Below are 18875 nucleotides of genomic sequence, written 5' to 3'. Positions count from 1 at the left end.
ACCCTTGCTGAGGAGACACAGCCTTTAAGACCAAAGGCCTTTAAACATTCTGGATTCTACGTCATCCTAATACATTCTTTTCTATAAAATTGTTCTAGTAAGTGTTTTAAGAAAGAGAAGTATATGCAAGAAAACAAATTACTTAATTACTTAAAACAAATCAAGAAAATTCTTGCAGATATTAAAAGTTTTTTTTCACCCAATCAGATTTTACCTTTGCACTTCATATAGTGACACTATTACTGATTGGAAAACAAGAAGCATAACCGGTAAAAGGAAAACTGGCAATCTGCTTTCTCTACAGTAGTTTGTGTGTTTGGACATGTAACCACACATGCACTGGAGCCCAAACTGGGCTAATGGCTAAAATCGTATGTTAATGTTAAATGTGATTCATGTAACAGAATACAGAAGTACTTCAAATATAAACACAAGTAGCCAAACCCCAGATGCTTGTGTCTTCCTTAGAAAGATTTTTGTAGAAATAGATTCTTGCCATAAAATAGGACAAGAAAGCATTTGATGAAATCCTACCCATATTTTTGCTCATGATTTTCCTTGTATTTATCATGGCTGGTGCTTGGATAGGCTTATTATCCTGGGGTTTCTTCTTGAACAGCTCTATCTTTTTGTGTCAGAATATATGTGATTTCTGTCTGTAAACTCTAAAGTACTTGCCGAATTTTAACAGAAAAGTAATCTCTGACACAGATCGTGATTGATAAACTATTTTGGAATAACCAGGCCCGTGAGTGAAGATCCTAGGAGGCAGGTGCCTCGCTTAACTGAATGGGTTTGGGAGGGAGGAATTAAAGGGCAGGGGCAGTTCACACTTTGGTTAAACTCTGGCAACTAAAATTTCTACCCTGGTAAAATTTAGAAGTTCAAGGAATAGCACTGCCATGATATTAATGACCTTTGGGGGCATATAGAGTTCAGAGTTCATTTTCTATTTACAACATCCCTTGCTGCTCCACCTCTTACCCTTATCCTTCCCTCCTCCCCCGCAAAAAAGCAATTATTTAGGGCATTGTGACACTCAGCCTGGCTAATTTTTATACAAAAAATAGAGTCAGTGGAAAATATAGCAGTTACGTATTGGTAATGGATAGAACTGGGGATGCCCAATGTGGGGAGAGGGTATCTCCTGAGCAGTTCAAAGTTCATTCTTTGTTCACATATAATGAAAAGTCTTCAGTGATCAGGTATTTAAACCCAAATCAGCAGTTCCATATCCGTAACCTGAGCTGAGTGTTCCTCCATCTAATGGCCATGCTTCTGTCGTTTGCAGTGAGTTGGGTGACACTCGATTTGTACTCCGAGACGGGAACAGATGGGCTTTCATTGTGAGACTCCGCCTGTATGCAAATGTGAACGGAGTTTCACCCGATCCCGGGGTCTGACCTGACCGTGCACATGCATTTACTCAACGTGGCTCAGCCTGGGGGGGCGGCGAAGGGGGAATAAAAAATGGCAATCGGATAGTACCAGCGGCAGGTCAAGTTTACCATCCGTCTTTCAGTGGGACTGAGATGGCAACACAGTTATTTAGTTTCAGTGTTGATGTGTGTTGCAATAAACTCCATCATTTCACCTGTTTATGAACCCAGCCTCGTATGAGATCTCTGTGAAATCAAACAAAGCTGGCAATCAACTCTCTTGTTTCCAGCAGAATAGGGGATTATGGACTTTTTTTTTTTAAGCATCTTTAATTGTTCCCCTGCCTTACATACATAAATCAATATTTTTTTCTCTTGCCTTTTTATTTCTTACATTGAAATTATTATTTTCCGATTTGGAGGAAACAAAATACATTTTCCCCAAATGCTTTTTGTTTCAAATTAAGAAATATGATTATTAATGTCAGAATAAACAACCAGCATTTTAGATGTCGATTAACTGTTTTGCATGTATATAGCAATGTACAGTCTCTAATAAATCTTACAATTAAATGTGCAGCCCTTCATTAGAGTGAAAATATGAACAGCTGTAATCATACACATTCTATTGACAGAAATTTAGTTTCATTTGTAATTTTTCACATTGGGAGAGAATGAGAGATGAATTGGAACCACAATTGTTTCTGTAACTGTGGAGTTTTTCTTCACATGTACAGAAGGACAACAAACCAGTGTCTCTGACTTCAGGGTCTAACAGCAGTGATTTGCCTCAATTTTCTTCTCTCATGAAAGTAAATTTCTCTTGGGAAACATATAAGGCTTTGGCTAGAAAACCCGTAGGACAGACACCCCAAACTGTAGCAAATAACAAATTGATGCATTTCTTCAGTACATCTGTTCGTTAAAGGGTTTTGTTAACTGATGTCTGGAACTGGCATAAAAGAAAGAGTTGCTAAGAATATAGTGAAAGTTGGTGCATGCAGCAAAAACTGCTTCTGATAAAAGATATTGCTTTTGGTAATGCAACCATATTGCTCAGAATGGAAAGAGGGTCTTTCGAAGTAGTATTTGTGCAAGTGCAGGCAAAACCAAGACAGGCTTCCCTCAAAAATGGTGCCAAATTGTCATTGCCCAAAGATTCCTTTCCACCTTCCCTTATTCCAAGCCTCATTAAAGGTGCAAGGCCAACATACCAAGACAACATTTTCAAGTAGTTCTAGAGAGTTAGGCTTGAAATTATTCCAAATAGAAATAAATGGTCAGGACTAGAACTAGCATTTGTCTACTAGGCACCTAGTAGTAGCTGACAGACATAATAAAGAATAAAGAGTTGCATGACAGTATAGCAGGTATTTAAAAATGTCATACTCTTCTCCTTGGCTATTGAAAATGGATTTGATTATCTTTCTTGGTCTCTGAATATGTATTTCCAAATAGATGGGAGGTTTCAAGAGAGTATATATGTGGACATATATGTATATATATACCAACACATATGTATATATTTATATCTGTGCATAGAGACCCTTCCTTATACAAACAAGGTTTTATGTGAATGCAGGATTTTGTGTCCACATAAGCCTTTGCTCATGGTTGAATTATTACAGGCCACCTTAAGTTAAGGATATTATTTATATCCTTAGAAAATTTACTTGAGAATTGTCAAGGCCATGCTTACTGGGGAATTCAAAACATTTATTTATGTTAGAAGCAGGGGACTCATACGTTCTAAGTTTAACAAGAGGCTTAACAAAGTTATATTCTGGCATGAGTAAGCTCCTAAAGACTTTTTTTTTAATATAGTGGAAAAGTAACATGAAAATATTTACAATACAAATATCGGAACCAAGTTATTAGAACCACTACTTATGGTTGTTTTTTGCTTTAGTAAAATGATGCATTTTTTAAAGTGTTATCTAAAACCTGCTTGAGATTTGGAAATCAGCAGTTTCTTTTTTTAGTGTCATATTGAAAGTAATACCATGAATTGGGATGAAAATGCTAATTTTTTAAAGTTCTTGAGGAAGAAAAAGCCCATACACCGTCAGTTACCCCGATCAGAGCTCTCAGGTATCAAAAAAAATGATACTTTTCAGGTCTTTATGAAATCTATGAAAGTTTATTTTTCTCAAGTGATTGTGTCATGAAGTACTTGTCAAGGAGGAACTGAGCTCAAATAAACAATAATAATAATAACAAACATTTATATGGCTTTTATTATGTAACAAGGACTTTTGTAAGTGCTTTATGTATATTAACTCATTTAATCCTGGCAAAAATCCCATGAGGCATAGTTCCTATTTTTATCTCCATTTTACAGATAAGGAAAACGAAACTTGCCCAAAGGTTAAATAGCTTCTCTCCAGAACAGAAAATGAAAAACTGTGAGAAATTAGGACTCAGACTTTTAGAAAGACCTTCCATGTAATTGGATGAATGATTTGTCTTTCTATGCCTATTTCAGCTGTAGAAAATTATGATGTCTTCTATAAAAATCACATTTATGAAATATGCAACATGTTTGCTAAGCAACAAAAAGGAAATATGTAATATTTCCACTCCTTTTAAAGCCTTGCAGTATTGGAGATCACTGTTCTTCAATGATGGCATGATGTGGGACTTCTAAGAAAGTTTTGCAAAGTCTTCTCATCAAAACTCTCTTGTGGTAAAATATCAAATCCAAAAGTAGGTCTAGTTTAAGTGAGAATAAGTTGTATACTTTTCTTAAAATTTGACCTTGTCTAGTCTATGACTATGTTCATTGACAACAAAATTAGGTTCCTCTGGAGCCTTTTATTATTTTTCTTATTTTACTCTAAGGATAGCTCAGTTGTACTTTTGGAAGGATGGGTGAAGAGAAATTAGGCAAATACAAAGGTATTTTTCTTTCTCCTATTTTTAAAGACTAATTTTGCATTGTATCTTAGTGTACCAGGGTCTTGGTCATAAGCCATTTACTTCACAATGAAAATAATGGCATTTATAGATCATAATTAGCTCTGAATTGTAGTCCGCCTGGAGAACTCAGCAAAGGTGTACATCGATTGGCTTGAGAGAAGGGATTGGGGGAGCCACCTTGTGGCTGGAAGACGACCCAGCAGCCTCCAGGACTTGCTATGTTCAAAGTAGAAAGGAATGGAGATGAGGCTAGAAACCAGAGATAAATCAGAAATATCAATCACTAAATATTTGCGGAAAGTGGTAAGGGATATAAATAGAATCTATAACTACAATAACACTGAAGCTGTAGTTGTAAATATACATTATCCTCTTTAATATGACATAGAGTAGATTGAGAACTGAGAAATTATTAAGACCCCCACACAAAAAAATTGGAAAAAAGAATGAAAACATTTAAGTTAAAATTATGTTCATTTTGTAATTCAATAAAGAAATCCCAGAGACATATTTTTAAATTTAATGTTGTTTTCTAAAGCACAGAAAAAGCCCCACAGACATCTGTTTGCATACATTGTGTGTCAGGCAACATCAGATCTGAATGGAATTTATCTAAATTTTATATGCATGGCTTGATGTAAATTGAAATAAATTGTACAGCATACTCTGCGTGGACATATTGGTTTTTCCATAGCTGCTTGAACTTTTAACCCCAGGGCCTGAGCCGGTCACACGTTGACCTGTCTGAACTCTGCTGGTAGATCCAAGTGTGGAAGGCTGACCTTGCATCCATGGCAACCATAAAGTAGGGTCCATGACTCTTCTCTCCCTTTCTCTCTCTTTTCTCCACACTCCAAACAAAACAAAACAAAACAAAACAAATTAGTATATTCTCGCACAGTCAGTCAGTGTAATCTTGGAATAGTTCTACCAAAATGCATTTTGCCCCTAACCTAAGCTCTAAGCAAAGCTTTTTCAGCTTGCTTGTCAGATGTTAATGAAACTTTGAAATGAAAGCCTTTATAAAAGTTAATGGAAAAGACCCCTTCCTGGGACACATTCAGTTTGCTTGTCTACTACTATAATAAAATATACTTCACATACTCATATATTAAGTAATGTTGCTATAGGTATGTTAGACATGCAGATGAAAATTATACTTGTCTGGGAATTCAACATAATCCTTCGTGGGTGGATTAAAAAAATACTTACATAAGGTTTTACCGCTACCTGCAAAATCCCTATCAGATCTAATATTTTCCAGTGTCATGGAATGATGTATCCGAAAGGAGTAATAAGCATTAGGGATCTAGAGTTAATTTCTCTATTATAGGTTGTAGTCTCCATTTTAATGAAGGTACTTTTACACTTTTGGTTTAATTTAGATGATCTTTAAATTCATGTACCAAAAATTATCACTTTCACAATCTTGATGGTAGTCTAAAGGTGTTATTGATTCATTCTAAAATTGAAATTCTGTTCATAGGATGTATTTGTGGTTCTTCATTTATTAATGCAAGAAGCATTTGTTGAATACCTACTATGGTAAATAACTTCAACTAAGTACTATGGGTGATTTTTTTTAAAAAAGGTGTGTAACTGGTTATAAGGAATTACAGTTTTGTTGCAAGATATATTATTTAGAAAGAGAAAAACTAGAGAACAATTAGACAGCAGTGACAAATGCATAATTGTTTAAAATTGTGTACCAACTGACAAGGAAATGTGGCGTAATGGAGTGACCAACTGGGAGTGGATTTAATGAAGTAAGTCCTCTTATGAACAAAGCCTTGAAAAAGGTGGTTGTCCAGGACCACTAAGTAGACATTCTAGGTGTGGGAGGTTTCATAGAATAAGCAAAATCTGGGGTTGTGTTGGTAATGTACAAGAGTTAATAAAGAAAAAAAATGACCAGAGAAAATGGGATATGTTATACTGGGAATAACAAGTATCTTTGAATGCTCATGGACTAATCTGCCATCTTTTCAGATCCTGGGGTCTCTATACATACTTCAGTTATTTGTTTCTGAAGGTTTTGCAGCAACAAAAATTTTTAACACATTTGTCAGATTTGAGTTGTAGAGGCCTCTATTATCCTGTTTTAGAAAGAATAAAGAAAATTTTAACTTCTAGAAGCTTTATGTATAACTTGAAAATCTCAAATGTTCCACAACTTGTCTTTGGGCAACTACAGGTAACAGGATTGATAGGAGAAGAGTCTGGTGAAACTAAAGTTTTCATTTAGAGAGCCCATGAGGTAGTTTAAAAACAGCAACAAAAAAGCCACAACAATTTTTTTTTGGTCAGGCCATATTGAAAATAAAAAAGGCAATATAATGTAAGCAAGAATCAGGAAATTCTCCCAGTCTGCCTCTAGCAAATTCTATGAACTTGTGAAGTTACTTTATCTCTGTAGGCCAGAGTTTCTTCATGTGTAATAATAAAAATATCTCACATTTACTGAATCCTTACTTTATAGCAGGCACTAGTGTTCTAAACACTTTCATTTAATTCTCACAACAACCCTATCAGATAAGTACCATTATTGTTCCCAGTTGACAGAACTGGAACTCAGGGAACAGGAAAGTGAGGCACTCCATCTTTTCCAGCATCACTCCCAGCTAATCTAGCTTTAGACTTTACGTCCTTCAGCCACTAGACCAGAGGTCAGTAAACATTTTCTATAAAGGGCCAGATAGTAAGTACTTTAGGCTTTGTGGTCCATACAGTCTCAAGAGCAGCAAATGCGCAAATATATCATAGTGTGCAAGTGGCCTTAGACAATACGTAGATGGATGATTGTGGCTGTGTTCCATTAAAACTTTTATTATAGGCCAGGTGCAGTGGCTCACACTTGTCATTCCAGCACTTTGGGAGGCCAAGGTGGGAGGATCACTTGAGTACAGGGGGTTGAGGCTGCAGTGAGCCATGATTGTACCACTGCACTCCAGCAGCCTGGTCAACAAAGTGAGACCCTGTCTCTTTAAAAGTAAACAAATAAATAACAACAACAACAACAAAAACTTGACACTGACACTTGAATTCCATATAATTTTCACATGTCAAGATATGATTTTTCTCCAACCATTTAGAAATATAAAAATCATTTTAAGCTTCTAAGACCTACAAAAAATGGTGTGGGTGAGATTTTGCCCAAGTCATAGTTTGACAATCCCTGCACTATACTATATTGCCTCTCAATATACAGAATAAGGAGTTGAACCTGATGGTCTCTAGTTCATTACTACTATTAAAGAAAAAAATTTTCCCAGTCAGAATGGATTTTATTAAAAAGACAAAAGATAACAGATATTGGTGAGAATGCAGAGTAAAGGGAATTCTTTTTGTTAAAGAAATTTTTTAATTCAATGACTTCCTAGCTCCAATGGTAGGGTTACTACTTTGAATTCAATACTGTGTAACTAAAGAATTGAAACCTGCCTTGGAAAACAAGACTTCCCATAGCTTGTCTTTGGAAAACAAATACTACATCTAAAGTATCTCAGAAAGATGAATAATTACTTCTGTTTAGTTGATATTTTGAGAAAGATGTTTCATTATATCCTTTAAAAAGCCACTTTATGTTAATGGCTGTTCCTATCAGGTTGTGTTGCTCATGTTTAGTCTGAGTCTCTCGTGATACAGCAGAAGCCCATTAGCTCTAATTTTTAGAAGTGGAGATGAGCTTGTCTCTGTCTTCTACACAATTCTACACTACCTTCTATAACTTCTACATCACCTCCTGCAGCTGAAATTAAGAATTTCCCATCATTCTCCCACACTTTTGTTCTTTGCTTATCTACATTGCTTTCTGTTCTTCCAGCTATTATTGTAACTTTCAAAGGAATCTACTCCAAAATGTCTTTATCCTCTTGTATGATAGAACCAGGAATTAGACAGGTTAGAGACTTCCTTTCCTTATCTGTATTTAAAAGTTGGATTTTCCAAAAATGCATATACAAAAATGTCTGTAAGTGTCATTATTACATAAAATAAGTGTTTTTTATAGAGGTCCATTATGCTTAATTTATAGTTACTTTAGTTATATAATACTTTGGTATTACATTAGATGTAGCAAATCATCCCTTCTTTTAAAATCAAGTAATATAGCTGATTGTGAATTTAAAACTCTTTCATTTTTTCTTTTAACTTGAAAACTCACAGCCATTCCCAAGTTTACTTCTGTTTCCTTAGTGTCTATTGAGGTGATGTGATAAAAACAAAATATGAAATCTCACACATATTATGATGTTTCTGTGTATAATCCCCAGTTATAACCTTAGCATTCACACTCCTGAATAGTCTAGTGACCTGTACGCCTTAGGGTTTCCCAAACATTGACAGTTTATTTCATAGATAGCAAGAAAATATCCCCTTATTATCTAGCAACCTTCTATGTGTCCTAGGTATGATAAATTCAGAGGACTGTATTTCATCTTGGAAATACCCATTGGAGTCAAATTTTTGAAGGTTTTTCCCCAAGCCTGTGTATTCTACAGATATTTTGTCAGAAAACTAATATTTTGCACATATATAGTTTTCTGACATAAGATGGTTCTATAGCCACAAAAATTGAGGAGCCTGAAGGAAAGCGGTCCCTTTAAAGTCTGCCTCCTTTATGTGTGTTCAATATGGTCTTAGCATACTCACTCAACAACTTTGGTCATAGAGCTGTAGTGAGACCAGGTGAATAAAGTGCTTCTTAAGAGTAAAATGCTCATCTATTTATATTTCCAAGACTACTGAGTAGTATTTGATGAATTGCATAGGCATTAAGGTAAAAGACTATTCATAGTTTATTTGAAGTGGTTGAGATGAGAAATGATTTGAACTAGAATATCTAGGGATAGAGAGCCTTCAAAAGAGAAAACCATACTGTGACCAGGAGACCCCCTTTCCCACCACAGTATCACAGGACAGTGGCCTTGGAATGCTCATCACCTGGTAATGTCTTAGCATAACCAGAAAGCAAATTTAAAGTTGCTTGTGAAGTAAGACTCTCCAATATTTCTTTGGCCAAGTTTGCTACCTTTAAAGATCTTTATTTTGAGAACAATCTGTTCAGTGACTAAGCTAGTCAATGTTTTTGTCTTGTTTTTTCACTTTGTACTTGTTTATATATTATTTTTGTAGCATTTCATTGATCTTTAAAAACTTAAATTTCAACTTTTAAATTTGAGCAATTCTATATTTTAAGATAAAGTTTAAAATATATAATTGCCCAAAACACAGCTCACTCTTTTAAAATTATTATTCACTGTGATTTGACTTCTTCAAATCACTACCAGTCTTATATGGAAATTCTGTGCTTACAAATCTCTATCCCTCACTGGATTCTGGCTTTTTGCAGCCCTAGCACAATGCCTGTCCCCAAGTAAGTGCTCCCAGAGTGTTTGTTGACCTAAACTGTTGAACCAAATAGTGACAAAGAGGATGGATTTTAACTGAGCATTAGAATGCACCACAGAAACTCATGGATTCTTTGTATTTTTGGTGGTTAGGCCCATTCTAAAGGAATGCTACAAGTAAACAACTATAGTAAGCTAGTATTGACTTCCTTGGGCATTTCATATTGCTTGCAATAAGGTGGACAGCAAGGTAGGGTAGAGAATTGGCGGAGTAACTTCAGCATATATACATGTGAAAGAAGTTGAGTGGCACTTCAGCTGCTCCTCACCACTCTTAAAGGTTTTCCATGAAATGGAGGGGAGAAGGAAACTTCACTTCCTGTTAGTGAAATTCCATAGCAATATAAGACACGCAAGAGCAACATAGTAGTACAAAAGTCCCTACATCTCATTGATTATCTTTAAGTGTTTGGATTTGAAGTAAGAATATGTGTTCTTCTACCCTCTGCAGAAAAAAAAAATCATATTTATTAAAGATGTCCTATCAATATATTATTATAGTAGTGATTGGCTCAATTCCTGGATATAGTTTAGTATATATCATATCAGCCACCTGAAGCACTTTCTGGGAAAATGCTCAAGAAATATAGGCTATCAAATAATATAAAAAGTGGTTTATGTTTGGGTCAGTGGGAGACTCACTTGATAAGTTTGGCTAATTAGCATGTTTTGAATTCATTTTTAAGTTGTTGATCACTACCATTGATCATTATGATACGCTATTTTACGTTGGATTATTTATTGTTGGTTTCCTATAATCTCAACAGAAAATCAAAATAACATAGTCTTCATTATATTTTTTGATAAATGATAATTTTTTAAAAATTTTGTTGTGTACAACTGAGGATGAGATATTTCCTATTTCTGTAAGCTCATTAAAGAAAGCTATGTGCCCTGATGCCAGTTGTAGCACTGAGACTACTGCAAGGTTCCTAACATGGTGGAAGAAAATCAGGAGCCAGGGGACCATAAGGAAGGTCTAAGAAATGTAGATTCAGACTGGGTGCGGTAGCTCACGCCTGTAATCCCAGCACTTTGGGAGGCCAAGGTGGGCGGATCAGCTGAGGTCAGGAGTTCAAGACCACCCTGGCCAATGTGGTGAAACCCCATGTCTATTAAAACTGCAAAAATTAGCTGGGCATGGTGGTGGGTGCCTGTAATCCCAGCTACTTGGGAGGCTGAAGTAGAAGAATTGCTGGGTTCAAGCAATTCTTGAACCCAGGAGACGGAGGTTGCAGTGAGCCGAGATCACGCCACTGCACTCCAGCCTGGGTGACAGAGCGAGACTCCATCTCAAAAAAGAAAGAAAGAAAGAAATCTAGATTCAATTCAAATACTCATGGAGTCTCTACCATGTGCAATGCATAATGCTAGGTGCTGAAGGAATATAAAGATAGGTAATTGGGAATCTCCCTGAAAATTTATAATTTGTTGGATATTGGGCTGATGGGAAGGGTTGGTGGGAATAGAGAGGAAACAAAACAAGAAGATCTTTGCTCATCTTCCAAGGAGCAGTTTCAGTAGTCTACTAAAAACAAGCCTAGTTATTAGTGATCTTAGAGTGAGTGAGTACTCAGAAACTAGAGGCTGTGGGTATATGTTACCTAAAAAAAGTTGTTTGGTGAAAAGAATGAAAGGGATAAATGGTAGGAGGAGAGAGGAGCTTTTTGGTTATTTTGTTTTAGTTTTAGGAGAGGGGAGATCTGAGCTGATTTTCCAGCATATGAGAAAGAACCAGTCTAAAAGAGAAGATAATGGGTAGAATCAGGTCCTGGAAAGGTAGAAATGGGTCAGTCAATACTATACAAGAATCAGTCCTGGCTAACAGGCAGGGGACTCATTCCTTAGAGAAAGGAGTTAAAGGATAGAAGAGAATGAAGATACGGAGATATTTTTACTTGAAGGGAGGAGAAGGCAAAGCCATTTACTAAGAGTAAAAAGCCATGGAGCAGGGACTGGCCTAGAGCTTAGGGAGACTGGAAAGTGGAAGTTTAAGGCAGCCATTAAAGAGATGTGACAGGATTAAGAGAAAACACATTATTGTTAAGCAGTAATTAATATATACAGTGAGAACCATCTCAATCTATTCAACAAACATTAATCATTAAATAGAGAATTCATGGAGGAGCAAAATGCTAAAAGATTCTGATCCACTTCATTTTTAGGCTCACCCCTCATCACTCTCTCTTGGTATAATATGTGGTTAATAAATATAATATAGCCTCCAGACCATGGAAAATCACATGCAATCTCACACTGAGCTGTCTATCCCTTTGACACCAGGACCCAGTCCTGAAGAAGTATCACATTCACAGAAGCACAACAAAAGTAGGAATTTCTGTCCTCAAAAATACCTGTAGCCCATTTTACAAGGCAACTTCTCCTCCTTTTTCAAAATCCCCAGAACTCCCTGGAGCCTCTCACTCTCCTGTCCCAGAACTCTCTCACAGTCCCATGCCATTCTGCCCTGTCTCTCTTAATCCTTGAAGATATGGGGTGGAGACTGCTTCTTTGCTCCCTGTCTTCTACTGTCAACCTAAGTATCTTATTCTCCACATTCTCCCCATGCTGCATCACAAGGCCAAAACACTTGACTGAGAATGGCAGAGCCCTCCTTGGATGATGGTGAGCCTGGGAAGGACCTGAACTAGTGAAGCCAGAAACTCTTGAGCACACAGGGGAAATAATAAGCTAGGAACACTCATAGTTAAAAACAGTTTTCTCATAACACTGCAGCTTCATGACCTACACTTATTTTGAAGAGGATTTGAAACCATGACCTGAAATACTGAGCCTACCTTTCATCTTACCTCCTACATGTGAAACTCATGCCCCAAACCCCAGCCTCACAGGATTATTCATCATCATTCCGCAAACCCAGCCCTGTGCCTTCCACCTGGAGTGCCTTTCCCATCCTCCCATCCACCCACTCATCCTTCCAGGCCATGCTCAAACTCCCTCTTCTCTAGCTGGCTTCCTAGTTGCCCCAGGTTGGACTCAACCCCTTCCTGTCTTGCATTTTACTTGATCAGTTATCATAGCTGTTGCCTACCACCATTTACCTGCATTGTATTACATACACTGGCATCTCCAAAGGATTGTGGGCTGTCAGCACATATTAGACATTCAATAAATGTTTGTCAGATTGATCCCCTAAAATGTGATTGTATGATCCAGATTTTCAAATCACACACACACACACATACATATATATTCTGTCATATCCTAAAGAACTTTCAAAGAACCTTGAAATAATAGTAGTCTCCTGTTCTATACTGTGTCTTAATGTGCCACAGAGTGACAGCCTCCCCCTCTTCCCCCTTCAATGATATCTGGAGGTTTTCCTCCCTTAGACATCAGAAATACTGAAGGATGGAAAACACTATACCAGATAGATCCAAGATAAATGTTTACTTCCTTCAGTAGTCTAGCTTATGAGTATAAAGCCAAATGCTGGACAGTACATTGACACCACAAAGACAAAACGAAATAGACAGGAACTTTAGAAAAGGTAAAGGAGGCAGCCAATAAGGGCATGCTCCATTGTGTATGTTACAACTCAGGGAAGAGAAAATGGCAGCAAAACCAAATCTACATAAGAGTTTATATCCCTTTCACTACTGAAATATGGTTTATGCTGAAATGCCAACATTCTGTGATCACCCACATGAAATGAAAATGCTCATATTTATATGGTGCTTTTCGTCTAGAGAATCCCAAGGTGCTTTATAAATTATAAATACGAATGTTCCTTATGCAATGTCCCTGATATTCTCCATACACAAAATCCAGTTTCTGATGGTCAAAATTTCCCCCACGCCTGCCATACCACTGAATATTAAACATTTTTATCAGATCACAATTTTTTATCTTTACAAAAATCCACTGTATTAAAAGGTCTACAGTTTACACTATTTGTCTTCTAACATATGCTGCATCCCTCCTACCCACTTCCCTTCCCCCACTAACATGGAAAGTGAATTCAATTAGATTTAAGAAAAAGAGTAATTGCACTGGAAAATAGAAAAAATATCTCATCCCATAGTGATTAAGCTCTTTACCTTATAGAAGGAGTTTAACTCTTTCATGAAAACAGGATCTCATGAAATAAATGAATACAGGGATTTGCTAAATCAAAACATAGTGTCTTGAAGCGAATTACGTAGTCATCAGGGAGCTTTTTGCTCCAAGGGAATAGTGTACTACTCAGTGTAAGATGCATAAGAAATATAAAATAAAGTCTAAAACAGTTAAGAGTTTTTAATTTTTGTCTTTTAACTATTCTTATTTTATAGTCAGTATCTCAAAATCTGAAACTTATTCTAAACTCTTGGATTCCTGAAAGTGAATTCAATCATCTACTTTTCTAGAATTGGGAATCCAGGGTAACCCCTTCCACATAGTCAATCAGAATCAGTCCAAGGAGAGCCTGAGTTATCCATGCTACCAAAACTGCTTTGCCCGCAGCTTCTGACTAGTTGTTTGTTGACGCTCACTCTGACTTATGCAGAAAGATAATAAAATACTCTAATGTGACAGGTTCTTTATAGAAGTCCGGAAACTTTAGATGACCAATAGCTAAGGATGACATACAGAACTGTCATTTCCAATAAATATTTAAGGTGGGGAAGATGGTGTCAACTGCAAGGGAAACTTTTAAAAGATAAACGCTGGAACATCTGGAAAGAGTCTGGAATCAAGAGGCAGGTCAAATGTGCAGGTATAGGCTGCAGTCAGCCCTGTGGGAGTGGCTGCTCAAGGTTGGAGTGCAGCAAACAGAAGAGATCTTTCTGAAAACAGGAAACAGGTTCAGGTGCCTTAAACTAAGAAATCTCCCTTCTTGGACCTTTTCCCGCTTATATTATTCAGGCATTTTATACCTATCAGAGTGGTTTGGCTTAAGTAAGACTGCGACTGCCAAAATTTCTGAAGCCAGCCCTGTTTTTATACCTTCAATGGTTCTTTGAAATGGTAAAGTTACATAGGTCCATTCCCTTATAGGCCCTTTTGTTCTTTTTAATAACCAATAAAATAAGAACCACACATTTTTATGTCACATTTACAAAAACTCTAGCAGCTCAAGGCATTGGCTTGGTTTTGACTTTAGTTTCTCATGGCAGCATGGCTTTTTTTCTTTTGAATCGTGCCTGAACTGAACCATATATATTTTTAATCATTGATGAGACTCTACTTTTAATTGGTTAATACCCTAAAAGGGTGGTAGGTCTGATTTAAAAGTTAAAGCAAGGGAATAAAAGTGAACACTTGTTTTAGAAGTTTTGTACTATCTATGATCTTGTTTTGCCCCATTCCTAACTAAGAATGATAATAGCTGTAACTATTTATAAGGTTATAAGGTCATTTATATTGTTCTTCAAGATCTGCTGGTGAAAGGCACTATATAAATAAATCTCAATGTTAGTAAATGTATATATTTACCCGTATCTACAAAACTTGTTGTACACAGGACTGATTCATTTATTTATATGTACTTAGTTTGTTACTTTTAGCAAAATTTGTGTCATGATAAATAGTTTAAAATAACCATGTTAACCAGGGATTAGAGAGACTGATTTATAGACTTAGAGTAGGTGAAAGAGTAAAATAAAACCACCATCTATTTAGGTCATGGAATCAAGTAAGTTTAGAAGTTCTTAAGTGAAATGTTTTTAGTCAGTCAACAACAGGGTAAGGCCTACCAAAAGGAGTGTCTATAAGGAAGTAACACAAGGATTTTTTTTAAATCTAGAAATATGTGAGTTAGGAAAATTAATGTCTAACTCCTTAGACAGAGAATGCTCCTTTCAAGTTTGATAAAGGTCATTTTCAGGACAGTCTAAGAGAGGTTACAGTTCAACTTCCACCAGCAGGCCTTCAGAAAAGGAAAAATGGCTTCAGTTTCTGAAGCTGTAGTGCTTTTTTTTTTCCTAATTAAAGATGATAAAATGCAAATGATTACCTGTATTCTGAATATTTTATAATAATATTTTCTATTTTTCTCTGAAAAAATGAGGAAGTTATCACTTTTTCCCAAGACTGGAATGGAGAGAATACCAGCCAACCATGATGCAGTGAATGTGTGCCAGTGTCTACTCCCAGCTGCTCACGTAAATCTTTCCTCACAGCAGGATTTGAACAAAAACTTACCACTTAACTGAATAGTTCAAATGCTACTGAGTAGGAAATTTTAGTTAGACCAGAATATTTGCAAACTTAAAGTAGATACATGTATTCTGGCAGCATATATGGTATTTTGAAACATCAAAACAATTTTAAAGAAATCTATGCTCTTATGCCAGTCGTGGGTATTACTTGTTTTAGGACTTTGAAAGTATTTCTTTTATACTATAGCTGTTTTTTTAAACAACAACAACCACCTTGCTTCATTTTCCTTTTTATTTTTGAGCTGTTTGCAACCTATTTTCCAATAGTGAGAAACAATGCAATTAATTTTCTCCAGCGCAGTCATGCATAGATTTAATAAGCATCCGAAGGTAGGATCCATCTGTAAAGTATGCATTGCATGCTAAATTACTTCTCTTCTGTGGTTTTTTTTTCTTTCCAAACCTTAATTAATTGAAGAAAAAAATGTTTATTAAAGTGGGAACAGGCTGGGCTCTGGCTCTCCATCTCTGGTTCAAAAGTTCATACAATTCCCTGAAGGCTCATCTGAATGTGTGTGTCTCCCTCTCACAATCTTTCTTTCTCTGTCTCTATAGTAGGGATAAATGCCTAGAAAAGGTGTATTGTTTTGTTCCCAGGATCAATTTTAATAATCTTGAGTAAACTAAGTTTTTCTATATACAGATTTGCATATATCGTATGTGTATATGCATATATGTTTTGCATATATTATATGTTTACATAAATAGTATATACACATAGACACATAAATGTGTTATGTACTCATTTTCCTAATGCTTAGAATTTTAAAAAATTGGTATATCACTCTCGGTGATATCTTTAAACAGGATGTAGATGGAGACCGGAAGTATAATTCTACAGGTGGATCTCAGACAGGAAATTAAAGGAATTACGTATGAAAAGAAGCTAGATCCTTATGGATAAATTTGTGCCAGACACAAAAATATTAAATATATCCAAATAGAGCAATGTTTACCCATAAACAGCGAAAATGGAAAAAAAAAAAAAAGAGGAAGTGACTCACTGCTATGAGAGGCTTTGGAAACTGAAGACATTTCCTGATCTGCAGCAAGCTTTCTGTGACCTAGGTGAAAAACGGCAAGCTTATTGTAAAAGAAAAAAAGTATCTTTAAAGATGGACTCAGAATTTTTTGAATCCTTTCAATTGCTTGCCTAGGATGTCATGACCTTCCTTTTCTTTTTTCAAAGTATGACTTTTTTCTCCTTATCATATGCTACAATTTTTAGGTCCCTGCTTTAAAAAGAAAGGAAATACAAGTTGTAGTTTATGTTCAAATTACTAGTTTCTCTTTTTAGTTTAAAGTACAATAAGTCTTCTTCCTTAACACAAGTAAGGTTTGCACTGTCACTTCCAGATTTAGACGTCTATGGAATCAGAAAGCAGTGCTGAACTTGACTGTGATCTTGCCCGATTGAAGTCAACTTCCTTTGCCCAGTTGCTTCGTGCAAAACATAGTGATCATATAAGAGTCTAGCAGAGGGCTTTCTACAGGTTGTTTCATTCTCTGTTTTAGACTTTTGTGCCTAAAACTACTGGTCTGTTAGTCATTTAAATTTTTACAAATAGCCATTTAAGTTGGGAAAAAATAAGCAGTACCAAAAGCTATTTTACTTTGGCATAGATGCAGCCTTTGTCATGCTGGCTCTTTTTGTCACATAGGTGTACCATCATATACCCTTACCATGTGTCAGATGAGCCATGGGGACATTCCTGGAAAGAACTTTAAGGAATCAACATTCCATATTTTCCTCTCAAAGTAACTGTTGCTACTATATATTGACATGTCCAGATTTAGGCCACTTTTGAAAACTTGTGAGTCAAATCACATGGAGGTGATGCTGAAGTATCATCACCACGTAACAGCCATAATTGATGTCTTGGGAACTTGAAGACTATACTATATAGGTCATGTACTATGTAGGGCATCTATTTATGTGTATAACATGTCATAATTTCCCCACACCCAAATTTCTGTGACTTTTGGAGGAATCTTGATAATTGCTTTCTACACAGATTTTGGTTTAGACTTCTGCGAAAACCCTGAATTGAATAGCTGTGGGTTTCACAAATTACATGCATGTAAACAACATACCTTTGAAAGGAGGATGTGTGGACCCTTTCTCCTATATGCTTATGTCTCTGTTGTCGTAGATTGGCGTCCTTTGTGAGCTATTCAGTGACATTTCAGAACCATTTTGCTCTGCAGAAAACCCGCAGTTGTGTTTCTTTAGCTGACACTGTGGCACTTGCACTCGAAATTGCTAGTTAGAAAAAAAAATTGTTGAGGCCGGTGGCTGTAATCAGCGTTGTTGCTGTCTGTTTCCTCAGACTAATAGCAGAGAGATCCGAGTCTGAGAGTTCAAACAGAGGTTATCTTTCCCAGGTAGCATCTCGTCCAACGAGAATTTGATTTTTTTCTATAGGACTTTACTCCATTAGATTAATGAAATTTCAATGAGAGCCTGGCGCCCCCTGAAGCTTTGTTAAGAAAACAAATGGTGATTCTGTAGGTGTGACAGCTTGCTTGGAGAGTTACCAGAAGGTGAATACATCCCCACAATCCAGGCAGCCTGGAACACATTGATCTCTATTTAAAGCACCAATCGGATTTTTGTTAATTATAAATGATTGATCTGCAGTTTTTTCCTCTCTCTCCTCTTATATGTGTGGTTCCCCCTCCTTCCCGCACTTCTAACTTCTTTGCATGCTGAGCGCAGAGCTTTTTGTTTAAAGGAACAATCATAGAGAGCAAATTATAGCAATACCCGGCAGCAATGCTGCTGTGAATGTCAATGTCAGAGCGTTCACTGTTCATCCGACAAAGGTGAGCCCTGAAGTAGATTTCAGTCTGACTCCATGTTCCCTCTTTACTTAGCTTATTCCTAAAATAAGGGATGATTTTAACAAAAAGAAAAGCATAGAATCACTAGAATAGTATTATAGATGCTATCATTATTACGTTTTAAAAGCTGACTTGTAAGCCTTGTACACCAATTCCACAGT

At 36.4% G+C, this 18875-nt stretch overlaps 1 protein-coding gene and 1 long non-coding RNA gene across 12 annotated transcripts in view, besides 1 other annotated feature; one reads left to right on the top strand and one right to left on the bottom strand.

The window, feature by feature from the left end:
* SKAP1 (src kinase associated phosphoprotein 1) overlaps positions 1–18875 on the top strand; it is a 311620-nt gene that overhangs the window by 132582 nt on the left and 160163 nt on the right. The gene's annotated exons all lie outside the window — the stretch shown is intronic.
* Positions 4651–18133, bottom strand: SKAP1-AS2 (SKAP1 antisense RNA 2). 2 transcript variants are annotated; one of them, NR_131239.1, is made up of 3 exons: positions 17965–18133; positions 16875–16934; positions 4651–5149 (listed from the first exon to the last, which is right to left on the bottom strand). It is a non-coding gene; the product is annotated as an SKAP1 antisense RNA 2 (long non-coding RNA). The 2 variants fall into 2 exon arrangements; NR_131240.1 differs by lacking the exon at positions 16875–16934.
* Positions 12295–12384: an enhancer, noted in NCBI's record as "active region_12328". NCBI's record gives its function as "activates an Ori minimal core promoter by ATAC-STARR-seq in GM12878 lymphoblastoid cells {active_cell/tissue: GM12878}" and the evidence as "EXISTENCE:reporter gene assay evidence [ECO:0000049][PMID:35858748]".

The sequence above is a fragment of the Homo sapiens genome, chromosome 17 (assembly GCF_000001405.40).
Source record: "Homo sapiens chromosome 17, GRCh38.p14 Primary Assembly".
In the NCBI taxonomy this organism is placed as follows: Eukaryota; Metazoa; Chordata; class Mammalia; order Primates; family Hominidae; genus Homo; species Homo sapiens.
Note: the sequence above shows the minus strand (reverse complement) of the source record. Positions and strands in the feature narration are given on the sequence as shown.